The 14,141-nt window shown below is 43.1% G+C and overlaps 1 long non-coding RNA gene across 1 annotated transcript, besides 1 other annotated feature; it reads right to left on the reverse strand.

The window, feature by feature from the left end:
* Positions 3,602-3,681: an enhancer, noted in NCBI's record as "active region_4561". NCBI's record gives its function as "activates an Ori minimal core promoter by ATAC-STARR-seq in GM12878 lymphoblastoid cells {active_cell/tissue: GM12878}" and the evidence as "EXISTENCE:reporter gene assay evidence [ECO:0000049][PMID:35858748]".
* On the reverse strand, positions 3,929-4,492 carry LOC101928385 (uncharacterized). The gene is made up of 2 exons (NR_188501.1): positions 4,318-4,492; positions 3,929-4,140 (listed from the first exon to the last, which is right to left on the reverse strand). It is a non-coding gene; the product is annotated as an uncharacterized LOC101928385 (long non-coding RNA).
* Between the last annotated feature and the right edge of the window lie 9,649 nt (positions 4,493-14,141).

Genomic DNA, 14,141 nt, shown 5'->3' on the forward strand with positions numbered 1-14,141 from the left:
GTGTTTTTGGGTTTCTTTGTTCTAGCAGCTTAGCCTGCATGCTAACATACCCTGTACCAAGGAAGCAGTGTGGGAAAATGGACTGATTATTTAGAGATCTGGGATCTCATTAGTTCTACAATTTGCTGTGATGTGACCAGTTTCTTCTTGTGTAAAATAAGCCATGCGGATTGAATCTGGGATGCAGGAAAATGGAATTCATCTTGAGCAGAATGGGGAAAATAATCGTATTTACAGTCACTCCTCTGTATCTGTGGGTTCTGCATCTGTGGATGCAACCAATCATGGATCAAAAATATTCGTGAGAAAAACAATAAAAAATAACAATACTACTATAAAAATGGTAAGAACCAATATAGTATTACATCTATTTACATAGCATTTATGTTGCATTGGGTGTTATAAGTCATGAGACTTACATAGAGATGATTTAAAGTACACATGAAGATGCACATAGGTGATACGCAAATACTACGTCACTTTCAATAAGGGACTTGAGCATCTGTGGATTTGGGTATCTGTAGGGGTCCTGGAGCTAATCTCCCATGGATACAGAGAGAAGATTGTACTTCATAGGGTTGTGAGAATTAGAGGAGCTAATGCCTAGGGCCTGAGACACAACAGATGCCCTATAAGTATGAACTATATTCATTATTATAAGGTCTGCCCTGACTGACTGCAGGAGGCTGCCCGGAAGGCTGAGTTGACAAGCCTATAAATCCCCACCAGGACCACATCAGAGCTCACTGGAAATGAGCACCATTGTCAGCCAGCAGTGTTATCCATGGACACAGGACAGGGAGTTCCTTGTAATGGAGGAGGCCCCTTCCCTTCCAACTTTAGAGAATGGTATATATTTATACTAAGCCAGCTTAGAAGTGTCCTCTTTTCCCCTTTTCCCTATACTACCCACACCACCAGGGGCTTCAGGTAAAACACAAACATAAGAGTCCCTGACAGCCTTTCACTCCCTGGCAGTTCTTTTCTCCACCCACTTTCTCATTTTCTGGGCCGAACTCTTGAATCCGGAGACTCCAGACTTATGAGAGATGCCTAGACTTCTCCAGCTTCTCTTTTTAAATTGTTTTTACTTCCCTCTCGTTCTGACTCAAATCTCATCTCAGGGACTGGAAATTGCTGTGTTAAATGATATTGTCAGCCTGGTCTTTGAAGGATGCGTTTCTAGGACCGTGGCCTCCCCACAGGTCCAATCCCATTTGGGGTGATTCTGCCTCTGCTGGTTCCACTAGCCTAAGAAGTTCTGGGTCCAAAGAGGAGCCTCCATGGGGGTTCTGGTCTGCTGAGAACCCAATCACTAACACAATTTAGAAAATAACCCAAGTCAGATAATCCAAATCTGAAATCCCATCCCCAATCCCTAATTGTATGCAGGGAAATGTCTTATTTTGACCATTTTCAAAAGTCACAGAAAGTGTGGAAATGATGTATGAGTGAGGGCTCAATTGAAGAAAATAAAATCCAACTAGTTTAAATGGGATCGTTTGCAGAGGCTAAATCCACTCCAACAGCCCTATTCTTAAATCTTTCGATTCCTTCTTCTATATTGGAGTTGGCAAACTATGGCCTGCTTTTGTAAATAACACTGCCACCTGTTTGTGTAAGCAAAGCTTGATTGGAACACAGCCACGCCCGTTCATGTACATATTGTCTATGGCTGCTCTAGCACTTCTGACAGTGGAGTTTAGTTACAGCAAAGACCTCATGGTTCACAAAGCCCAAAACTTTTACTGCCTGTCTTTTTTTCAGAAAAAGTTTGCCAATTCCTGTTCTATATTATATCAACTTCACTTAGCACAGGCCACCATCAGCCAACGAAGCTAACAACTGCTCCCATACACCCATGTGTGTACTTACTCTAGTAGCTCTGGAAGTGGCACCCATAGCAACGACTTCAGTCTGAACTGTAGTTATGCTCCTCCCTCCATGGTCTAGCATCCTCCACATCCCTTTCCACACCCATGGATAGGAGAGACAGATGATTTTTTTTTAGGGCAGCTGTAGACGCATCTTGGTTCTCAGACAGAGCCAGGAATATACAGCTCTGAGCCTGTCGTTTTCTTTCTGTAAACTCTCTTAGTCTGTTAGTTGAAGTCAGTCAGTCCCATTGTGCCGTTGGCAGTAGGGAGTCCTTTTCTACCATGAGGAGAATGTATGAGAAGTGGAGACAGTACAACTGGAGAGCCTGTACTGATGGAATATGGGCACCACTACTCAGCTCCAGCTAATGATTGTTACAGTGGAATGCAAACCTGTGTTGTCAAATCTTCTGATTTGTCAAGAGAGGCTGGAAATATTGTTTTGTTTTGTTTTAACAGGCAGTCATTGCACACTGAGGTTTAAGGCTTTACTTGTTGGTGATCTTGGGCAAGTTTGTGTGCTTTTCTTAAGCTTGGTGTCCTAAGCTGTCCAGTGAAAGAAAGGAAGAAAGGAAAGAAGGAAGGAAGGGAGGGAGGGAGAAGGAAGCAAGGAAGGAAGGGACGGAGGGAGGGAGGGAGGGAGGAAGAAAGGAAGGAAGGAAGGAAGGAAGGAAGGAAGGAAGGAAGGAAGGAAGGAAGGAAGGGAAGGACTATATCTTGTAAGGGTTTTGTGACACTTATGTGTGATAATTCATATCAAGTTCTAAGAATGGAGTCCGGCTTGTACAGAGCACATGATCAGCAATTGCTAGCCTCCTGTTTTTCACTAGGCACTGGAGGAGGCACTAGATGGGGATTCCATCTTTCTTGTCTGCCTCTATTCGGAGTGAAGAATGTTCTATTTTCATGGCAGGACTGCAGAGCCCACCTGGAAGAGAGCTCCAGGGTCCACGCGAAAGTCTCTAGAGCTCCTTCTATGACGGGGTGAGATAGACACACCCAAGGAACTGCCCCAAACAACATCTATGGCAGACTTTTGTTAGGGGAGAGAAATAAATAAGTAAAGAGAAAAAGAAGTAAAGCAGGAAGGAAAGAAAGGAAGGAGAAGGAAAGAAAGAAGAGGAGGAAAAAGGAGGGGAGAAACTAGACTCAGTAAAAATCAAAGCATAGAAACATTGTAATTAATGTATAGGAATAGACTGTAGATGTATGGTGTAGGAATATTAAAAAAGTACTAAGCAAGACTCATGTTGCAGATTATAATTAATAATAGGTAAAGGTATTTAAGATTTATTGTTAAGTTTAAAAAGCAAGTTATAAAATAATGTTTATTGAATGATATCAATAGCATATATGAATTTACATATATCCAACTAGAAAAAAGACTGGAAGGAAAGCCAACAAAATATAAAAAATGGTTATCTCTGGGTGACAGAATTATGGATGACTTTTGTTTTGTTTTACTTCTGTGAACTTCCTAAGTTGTCTTCAATGAACCTGTGTAACTTGTGTAGTAAGACAAAATGGGAATTATGAAAAATAATCATTTTGATTGCGAAGCCACTGGTTGGATAGCTGAACCCTGAGTTTCAAATACTTTTTCAATCTTCCAGCAGGTGGCGCAATGGCAATGTCCGCCTCCTTGGGAGAATTTCACTCCACAATTAACAGAATCTCAGATCTCAGCCCACGCCAGCCATGGAGCAGAGGGCTTATTCTCTGGCGGGGAGGGGGAACTTGAAAGAAAACACTCAAACCCAGAAGCTGCCCACACTCAGATTGCTGGCCCTATGGCTCAGTTCTTCCCACAGTAGGAGAGACAAGGTTTTAGGGTAAATGCAATGATACAGGCAGAAGAAATATGTTTTCTCTTCCTCCCTTACCCTCCCTATCCCCCGTAATTTGGCCCTAGGCAAAGTTCAAATTCGTCTTTTTGGTGGGCATTTCTAGATTGCATTGGATTTGCAGCTCATTCAAGCCCTAATGGTAAGTGAGAGTTTGGGCTCAAAGGTGAAGGAAAAAAGCAGATAATCATCTTATCCACAATGCTGTATGGTTAGAGGATCTTTAATGTAGAGCACACCTTGTGCATGAAGATGGTGGACATGCTGGCCAGCCATCGGCTGTTGGGGAGCGCTGAAGGCAAAAGGAGCCTGTGGCCGGGTTAACCAGTCTACCAGGAGTGAATGAGACAGAATCTCTCCAGGCTTGGACACCACAGGAGGCTGGGCTATTCATAGCCAGGGTACAGCCTTAGCTTGATCTGGAAGTGAAGAAACCCTCAGAGAAGTCAGCCGCACTCCATCACTTTGAATTTTGTTTTAAATCTTAAATTTGCCCACGTCCAAGAAAACCACTCCAAAGGGAATCCAGCAGGGGAAAAGCCACCAGAGTCCACCAAAACGGTCCACATTCCCCCCAGATCCACACGCACACATACCATCTGGAAACAAGTAATGCTCTGGGCCTTCTATGCTATTTCTCAAAGCTCTTCAGTAAGCCTCCAGTGCCCTTCTCCGTAATGACATGGAAGAAAAAGAAAAGAAACGAGGGAAGAAAGAAAGGAGGGGAGGGAGGAAAAGGACTACCGCAGCTCATCTTGGCAGAAAGAAGCTAGCAGACTCCTCCCTCCTTCCCCAGAAGTTTTCACTTACTGATTCATCCCCATTGTGATCTAGATGCCGTCACAGAGGACCTGCTTGCATGGGGGCACTCACCTAGGTTTTGAGAAAAGTCAATCAAAGCCCTTGACATACAGGAGCTTTCTATTTCAGACAATCCAGATGATCAGAAGAAACCACATAAAATGACAGGGAACAAGGATCTGGAAGTAACTACATGTGTCTCTCCCTTCATCCTACAGATGTTCATTCTAACTCTCTCTCTCTCGGACACACACACACACAGACATATGTGCACACGAACACACACATTCCCTGGGGTGCTACAGTAGTAGGGAATGCATGCTATGGTTTAAATTTGTACCCAAGATTTATGTGTTGGAAACTTAATCCCCAGTGCAACTGCAGTGTAGGGGGGTGGGGACCTTTAAGAGGTGATTAGGTCATGAGGATGCTGTTCTACTAGACTAATGTCACTTTCATAGGAGTAGATTTGTTATCAAGAGAGTGGTTTGTTATAAAAGCGAGTTTGTCCCTCTCTTGTGCTTTCTCTCCCTCTCCCTGTCTCACCCTCTTGCCCTTCACCATGGGATGATGCAGCAAGAAAGTCCTTCTCAGATGCTAGCACCTTGATATTCCCACTCCCAGAACCGTGAGAAATATATTTCTTATCTTTATAAATTATCCGGTTTGTGGTATTCTGTTATAGCAACATAAAATAGACTAAGACATCACACAATAAAAACAGCAACAAAATAATGAACACATATAAGGCTATATACTAACAAGTTTAGCTTAAAAGTTAAGCACTTTGGAGTCCCTCGGCCTGGGTTTAAAGCCAGCCCTGCTGCCTTCTAGTGGAACATCTCAAACAAATTACCCAAAGTTTTTGAATCTTAGTCTGTACATCCGTTAAATGATAATAATAATAATGGCTACAAGTCACACTATTACAGAGAGGATTCAATGAGATCTTGCATATAGAGCCCTTGGTGCAGTGCCTGGCTGTGACCAGCACTCAGTATGTATTGACTATTGCTGTTTTCTGAAAGCATATTGATAACGGGGCAGTTTGGGATTGCCAGGCTGGAGTTTGTTGATGGAAAGGAAATTTTATCAAGGGCAGTGATGTCCAGTGACAAGACTGTTTGGCACTGAAATCATTTTACAAGGAGCTTCAGTATGCTTTAAAATAGAACCCAACACATTCTTGCCACAGGGGTCCAAAGTGGCTATCTGTAAAAAGCAGTGTGATTAATTAGCTGAAAGGGTCAGGTGATCTTCAAACTAATGAACCAATGTGGCCCAAGAACCAATCAATCAGAAAGAACCCTGGCTCTAGAGCCAAAGCAGCCCCCTGGACATCCCTGGCGTGCCAGGCCCCTTCTCTTGGATTCCAGGGAGTCCAGGGGACCCAGAGAAGAGGATGGGCAGCAGCGACACAGATGGGCACTTGGCAGTGACTACAGACCAGCTGATACAGATATATTTCAGTATTTTAATAACCTGCATGGACATGCCGGTGCATCCTGGCTGAACATGAGCTCTAGGTCAAGATATGAATTTCATCCAGGAGCAGTGGCTCATGCCTGTAATCTCAGCACTTTGGGAGGCCGAGGTGGGCGGATCACTTGAGGTCAGGAGTTCAAGACCAGCCTGGCCAACATGGTAAAACACTGTCTATACTAAAAATACAAAAATTAGCTGGGTGTGGTGGCATGCACCTGTAGTCCCAGCTACTCAGGAGGCTGAGGCAGGAGAATCACTTGAACTCGGGAGGCCGAGGTTGCAGACAGCCGAGATCACATCACCACGCTCCAGACTGGGCAACAGAGTGAGACTTCATCTCAAAGAAAACAAAAAAAAAGATATGCATTTCAATCCCACCCCAACCTGAGTGTTTCTTAGTCCATTAGCCAGGAATGACACAGCAAGAAAGAGATCCATGGAGAAGGTTCGAATTGATTCAGTAGAAAGAAATCTTTCCCTAATTCTGGAAGAACAACTCAATGTCAAAATGGTACATGGTTGCTTCCTATTCTTGTGTAGCTGGTGGAGGCTTAAGTATTCAGAGCCCCACCTTCTAGCTACTGAGAGTCCAGGAGAGAGCTATTTCCAGTGACGATGAAAGGATCGCCCACTAGCACACAGGGATCTGCTGAGGTGGGCTTGGTTCACAGGGGTGAGGAAGATGACAGGAAGGAACTCCTGACCTCAAGTGATCTGCCCTCCTCAGCCTCCCAAAGTGCTGGGATTACAGGCAAGAGCCACCGTGCCTGGTTGAAACTCGTATTTTGACCTAGAGCTGATGTTTTCCAGGGTGCACCAGCATGTCCATACAGGTTATTAAAATACTAAAATATATCTTCAGGTGCTTGTGGGCATGGAGAGAGGAGACTTGGGAGCCAGTCTCCATGGTTTTCTGTATGGGCTTTCAACAGAGAGGGGCTACCAAGAGAAGCTGGAAGAATGGTTTGCCCATACATTCTTCAGGAAACCCTGGGAGAGTAAGGAAGTTGTCCTTCAGAACTGATAAGAATGGGAGAGGGTGAGGGGAGAGATCACTCCACCACTGCCAGGTGGCCTCAGTATAGCTGACACAGTGTGGCCTCAAAGCCAGCAGCAGAATAGAGCCCTAGCAGCTGAAAGCAGCAACAGACTTGGGAGTCTTATTCACTGGGCTTTGGAGGCCGCACAGGGGCTGAGAGTCCTTGTTTGGTGGCATTTCCAAGACTTTCCCCAGGGTTTTTCCCAAAAGGGTTGCAGGGCTTTGAGGAGGGAACCAGAAGATCTGCCACAGTAGGGAGGAAGGCTAGAGGAACATCTGTCGCTCAGTGGCAACAACCCCCATATCTGGAGAGCATCCTGCAATTTATAAAGCATGGTCTCATTCCTAACTCTTCCCAGCAGAGATAATTATTCCTGTTGTGTAGATGAGAAAACTAAGACCCAGAGAGGTAAAGGGACTTACCCAAGGTTAATCATGGCAGAGCCTATTCACACTGGTTCATCATTCCATGTTTTCTGACTGTCAATTCAGTACTCAGTCAGAGGGGCAGACGGGCAGACGAGGTGCCTGGGGTGCAAAACGTAAAGAGGTCAGGTCCTTAAGAGTGAGGTGGCTAGGACACAAAATTTAAAGACACACACAATCTCGGGTCATGAAGTGCCACACCCGCATCCAGGCCTTGCTTTAATTACCACTCCCATTCCCCTCCAGCGTTGAGGGCTTCACTAGAGAAGCCTATTGCTGGCATTGCACCCTGGATATCTCTGGCATCCATTTGCCTGTTGAGCAAGCCTGTGGCTTCACCACATCCTTCCTCAGAAGCTGCCTGGAATCTCCAACTGTTCTTGTAGTTAGGAGAAGGGGAGTGAAGGAGAATGTTGCCACCGGATATGCCGGGCACCACAAACAAACAACAAAAAGGATTCATGTGTTCAATGGAGCTGAATTTTAATTGATACTTTCTCAAACAGTGGTTCTGAACCAACATCGCTCAGCCCCCAAAGATGATGAAGGGGGTGCGGTTTAACGCCACAATTAGCAGACAACCCCACAACAAATACAGTAAACATTAATCATATTAAATATTGAACTCAGACTTTGGTACGCTTGAAGAGCAATGGGTTTTTAAAATTTTATTTTACAGAAGACAAAGCAATGATTGTGGAGGAATTATTCCGATGTCAGTGCTGAAGGGAAATAATGTAACATTCTGGAATTTATATAAAAATTACAGCTTTGTTGTGTTTCACACTATATATAGTAATTTAATCATTTGCAGCTGATTAATTTCAGTGAAGGAAAATGTAGCATTATGCATCCCTAATGGAGTTCCAAGGTTTGAATTCTAATCGTGAGTTGGGCACAGTTTAAGTCTAAATTAGCAATTAGCTTGGGCAAGGGACATTTAGGTTGAATGGAAGTCATCTGTTGACATGTCCTGAGTCAACAAGAGAGTAGCAATGAAGATCATCAGAAAAATGCCTGCCACAGAACACTCTTCGCTGGCTTATTAATTATAGTGCTGAACATTAGCAGAGTGCCATTCCACTTTAGAAAACCTTTTCGTGTACATTTATCTCATTTGCTTTGGTCTTCATCTAAGTCTGTGAAGTGGGTGTTTGTGCTCCATTTTATAGCAAGGAAACTGAGGCTTGGAGAACTTAAGGCCACACGGAGGAAGAGCACCCTGTGGCAGGATTTGAACCCAAGAGTTCAGGCTTCAAAATCAGTATCCTTTCTACATCAAGATATTTTCTGGGGACAAATTTGCTCCATCTTGAGGTCCTCCAGAGGTTAATCCTCAAATACATCTAGAAGCAGGTACTTACTGTTCATATCCCTTTTTACAGATAAGGCTCGTGTGGGTCAAGTTGCTGGTCCAAGCATGCAGCTGAAATTGAAAACCTCGTTCTTCATCATAATACTTAGTACCTCTCAAAGATGGTTCTTAAACACCAGGCTGAGCCTTCTCGATCTTGTAGTCCACTTGGGATTTGGTGTGTTTGGGTGTGATGGCATATTTTGGGCCAGGAACTAAGGAGAACTAAGGCACATTTTGGATATTCTCAGATCCTGCTCCCCCACTTCTCCACCCTGCTCTGCTCCAGGAAGGAGGAACTGGGTGGATCTGTCAAGTCTGGTCAGTGGGAACAGCAGCAGGAGAGAGGAGGTAGAGAAGCCAGCAGACTCAGTGTTTACTCTTCTGGTTTTCTCACTGCAGGGTTGCCATGAGTCTGCTGTGTCCCTTACCCAAAAGTCATGGTCCCTCTCACTGCCCCTTCAGATCCAGGGTGATCATGGTGCTCACTATTACCAATCCTGGGGTACTACACACTCTTTTCCTGCCTTTTTCTTACAGCCTGTCCTCCCCTTTGTAACTCATTCCTCTATCCAGGAACCCTGCCTGATTGATGGACAAAAATACAGTATAAACCCCACCCTTCACATCAAAACTTGAGATTTGGAGTGAAACTTACTGAATCAGCTAGAGTCCTGGCTGGAAGCAGAAGTTTTCAGATAGGTTAAAAAAGAGATTTTTTTTAATGAAATGACTACTTATAAAGGTGTGGACAGGGTTAAGTGAACAAAGAAATATCAAGGCACCCAAAGACTGGAAGAGCAGGAAGCTATTACTATTCCTAAGGCTGAAAGGGCTGAAGCTGGAAGTCAGGAGGGGCCCCTGACTACTCTCTCTTCTTGCCCTTGGAAGTCTTGCCTGTAGCAGGCTCTCATGGGTGACACCCAACCAGAAACCTGACTGCAGGGCAATGTGGATGGTGCAGGGTTCAGGATCACCCTCTCAGGGTACAAAATAGGACAGACAAGGTAGAAAGTGGAACACTGTAGAAAAACAGGGAATAGCCTATATGTTTATCTTGTATCTTTGCAGAGGCTGGAGGTTAGGAAACATTAATACTTAAGAGTGTCTTAGTTTTACAGGAGAATTTCTTAAGTATTTCATTTCCAACAAAACAATGGATTCAAGCAAGGATCATCAATAGATGCTAAAATGATTGAGTAAAAAGTTGGTTGGATAAAGGATATTAACGTGACCTCAAAGTATCCTCCCAAAGATTACTCGTTAATTACAAACAGGTAATGCGATCTGTCAGATGCTGGCTTAACAAAGCAATCAAGCTTAGCGTCTTCAATAATGGGACCTACTGATGCTATGTGCCCCATAATGGAATGCAGTGGGAAGCAGACAACTTCACCTTTGTTGGATTCTTGCGAAAATGCTTACGCTGAACCTAACCAAGAGAAATATCAGACAAATCCAGATTCCAGAGCATTCTATAAGACAACTTGCCTGGATGCTTCAAAAAAGTCAGTGCCTTGAATAGCAATAGCCACAAAGACAGAGCTAAGCAGAAAAGAGAACTGTACAGGAAAACTTGGATGAACCTGGCCAATATAATGTTGAGCAAAAGAAGCCAGACTCTAAAAAGAGCATGTAAAATGTGATTTCATTTACATCAAGTTAAAAAACACACAAAACCAATTTAGTCATTAGAAGCCAGACTAATGGATATCCCTAGGAGGTGATGTCAGAAAGGGCACCCAAGAAGGAATTCCAGGGTTGCTAATGATGTTCTGCTTCTTGATCTGAGTGCTGGTTACAAGTGCATACTCAATTTGTGAAACCTCATTATAACTAATACACAGTGTGTGCGTGTGTGTGTGTGTGTGTGGTGTGTCTGTGTGTTAGAGAAGGAGAGAGAGTATTAGTGTGGTAAAAGATTAACAGTTGATGAAACTAGCTAGGTGTTGGGTATATAAGCATTCATTATCATTATATTATTCTTTTAACTCTTCTCCAGGTTTGAAATTTTCAAAAATAAAAAATATAAAAAATGGTTTCAATCATTTTTGTAAGTGTTGAATTAATAGAATTGGCCAGCACACTATGTACTAGCAGTGGCCTCTCCAGTGATTTTCCCTCATTTATACACTTATTTAAATATATGCAAACTATTCACACTTAACCAACATAAAACAAACAACTCAAAACCATTTTGCATTCATCATAATCCCTAAACACAAGCCAAATACCTCATCTGGTGCCCAAACACAGGCATAGCAATCTGTTCCCATGTTGAGAGAAAAGCATCTGTGTTAGACATACTAAGCTATAGCTTGGGATCCACAAAGCCATATCTATGGGACTTTGAATTCTCAAGGGTTATTTTAATGTTAGGCAATTTTTACTATGTTCACTGTCGTTATTTATTTTTGTTTAACTTGTGTTTTAAGTTCAGGGGTGCACGTGCAAGTTTGTTATGTAGATAAACTTGTGTCACAGGGGTTTGTTGTACAGATTATTTCATCACCCAGGTATTCAGCCAAGTATCCATTAGTTATATTCCCAATCCTCTCCCTCCTCCCACTCTCCACCCTCTGATAGGCCCCAGTGTGGGTTGTTCCCCTCTGTGTCCATGCATTCTCATCCTTTAGCTCCCACTTATAAGTGAGAACATGCAGTAATTGGTTTTCTGTTCCTGTGTTCGTTTGCTAAGAATAATGGCCTTTGGCCAGGCGCGGTGGTCCACGCCTGTAATCCCAGTACTTTGGGAGGCCAAGGTGGGCAGATCATGAGGTCAGGAGTTTAAGACCAGCCTGAACAACATGGTGAAACTCTGTCTCTACTAAAAATACAAAAATTAGCCGGGCGTGGTGGTGAGTGCCTGTAATCCCAGGTACTTAGGAGGGAGGCTGAGGCAGGAGAATCGCTTGAACCCAGGAGGCAAAGGTTGCAGTGAGCTGAGATCGCACCATTGCACTCCAGCCTGGGCGACAGAGTAAGACTCCATCTCAAAAAAAAAAAAAAAAGAAAAGAAAAGAAAAGAAAAGAAAAGAAAGAAAGAATAATGGCCTTCAGTTCCATCCATGTTTCTGCAAAGGACATGATCTCATTACTTTTTATGGCTTCAGAGTATTGCATGGTATATATGTACATTTTCTTTATCCAGTTTATTATTGATGGGGATTTAGGTTGATTCCATATCTTTGCTATTGCGAATAGTGCTGCAATGAACATATGCATGTATGTGTGTTTGTAAACAGAACAATTTATATTCCTTGACTGACTTTAGAATCCAACCTGCTTAACCTGTGACACCACTGGCAATGTTGACCAATATTGGAACCTCATTTTGCCTTCAAATCACACACCCTGTTGGGGTAGAAGGAAGAAGAAAATTCAGCTCCCTATTCTCTGGTGTTTTCAGTTCCAGGCATGGATTTTACAAATCCCAAAAGAGGGTAATGATAACAACAAAAACAAACAAACAAACCAGGAAAGACAGAGAAGCTCTATTTGTTTTTGTCTACTCCCATTCCAAAATGGCACCCTGGCCAGGCCAGCTACAGAAAACCTGATGTAAACATCAGATACAATGAGAAGCAATAGTCTTCACTCTCAAAGACCATAGCTGCAAAATTCTTATGCTTCTCCCCACCCTCACCCACCCCTTTAACTGCCAAGGATTCAGGGAGGGCACAAGCACTGTGACCTCTTGGCATCCTTGGTCTGAGAAAGATGCAGATTCTTTCCCCAACTCTTCAACTTTTCACTGCCAACTGAACAGACACCTTTGGTTCAGCTCGCCTACCAACTATCTGTGAGCCACTCTCTAGCACGGTGCTGGAACATAGTAGATGCTTGATAAATATTTTTTGAACGAGTGAGCTATGGAGAGAAGAGCTGTGGAAGAAGCAAAAGTGGTTTTCATGGAGCATTCTATGCAACTTGGAGGGCTTTTCCCCCCACCTATGCTGAGAACCCAGCTCTGGAATCCTCAAGGGGACCATCTCGGGATCAGTACAGTCCATGCATGGCATGGCCATTAGTATTCTTATCTTAAGTGGCTTTGCAGACAATTGACTTCTGCAATGAGCCAGGGTAAGAGAAAAATACCATGGCTGTGTAGCAATTGCAGAGGACAGGCTGATTTCCAAGTTTATGTGTGATAACCCTTTGGGACTCCTTGACATGACTAACTCAGCATGTGTAAGGTGCTGAGAACCTGAGGCAGCATGAGAGACAGTTGATGAAATTTCTGGTATTATTACAATGAGTTCAATTTTGTGCTTAAAAATCTGTATTGAGAGCAAATTTTGTGCTAGATGCTATGCTAAGTAAATACATTATTTTATTTAATTCTCACAACAACCCAATTAGTTATCTCCCTTTACAAATGAGGTGACTAAGTCCTGAAGAGGTAACTTGCCTACGTGTGATGGTTAATTTTATGTGTCAATTTGACTGCTGTACTGGGTGCCCTAATATTTGGTTAAACATTATTCTAGGAATTTTGATGAGAGGGTTTCCAGATGAGATTAACATTTGAAACAGTAGACAAAGTAGAGGAGATGGTCTTTCCCAGTGTGAATGAACCTCATCCTATCCCTTGAAGGCCTAAGCAGAACAAAAAGGTGGAGTGAGAGAAAATTTACTCTCTGTGTCTTTAAGCTGGAATATTGATTGAGCATCTCCAGCCTCCGGACTCAGACTGTTACTATACCATCTGCTTTCCTGAGTCCTCAGTTTGGTGACTGCAGATCTCAGGATTTCTCAGCCTCTATAACCTTGTGAGCCAACTCTTTATGAAAGATAGACAGATAATAGATAGATGATAGATGGTAAATAGATAGATTAGATAAATAACAGAGAGACGGATAGATGGATGAATGGGTGGATGTATAGATGATATATAGATAGATAAATGGATGGATGGATGGTGGATGGATGGATAGATGGATGAATAGATGGATAGATAGATGGATAGAGATATATATCCTATTCGTTCTGTTTCTCTGAGAACCTAGACTAATACACTAAGCTCATGCAATTATATAATAGACACTACTGGCTGCTTGCCTACCAACAATTATGAGACATCACACTCCCCGCTGCTGGTAGGACTCATCCTCCACTCTGTAGATTTAAAATGTAAAATACTTCCCTTCCCAGCTTTCACTGCATTCAGGGCACAGATGTGCACCCCAAACCTTGCTGTGTGGATTTAAGGAGAGTTTGCTGGGGGCTATTGGGAAAGAGTTTCTTTCCTTAAAAAAAAAAAAAAAAATGCTGGGCGTGGTGGCTCATGCCTGTAATCCCAGCACTTTGGTAAG

This window comes from Homo sapiens, chromosome 11 (assembly GCF_000001405.40).
Source record: "Homo sapiens chromosome 11, GRCh38.p14 Primary Assembly".
Taxonomy (NCBI): Eukaryota; Metazoa; Chordata; class Mammalia; order Primates; family Hominidae; genus Homo; species Homo sapiens.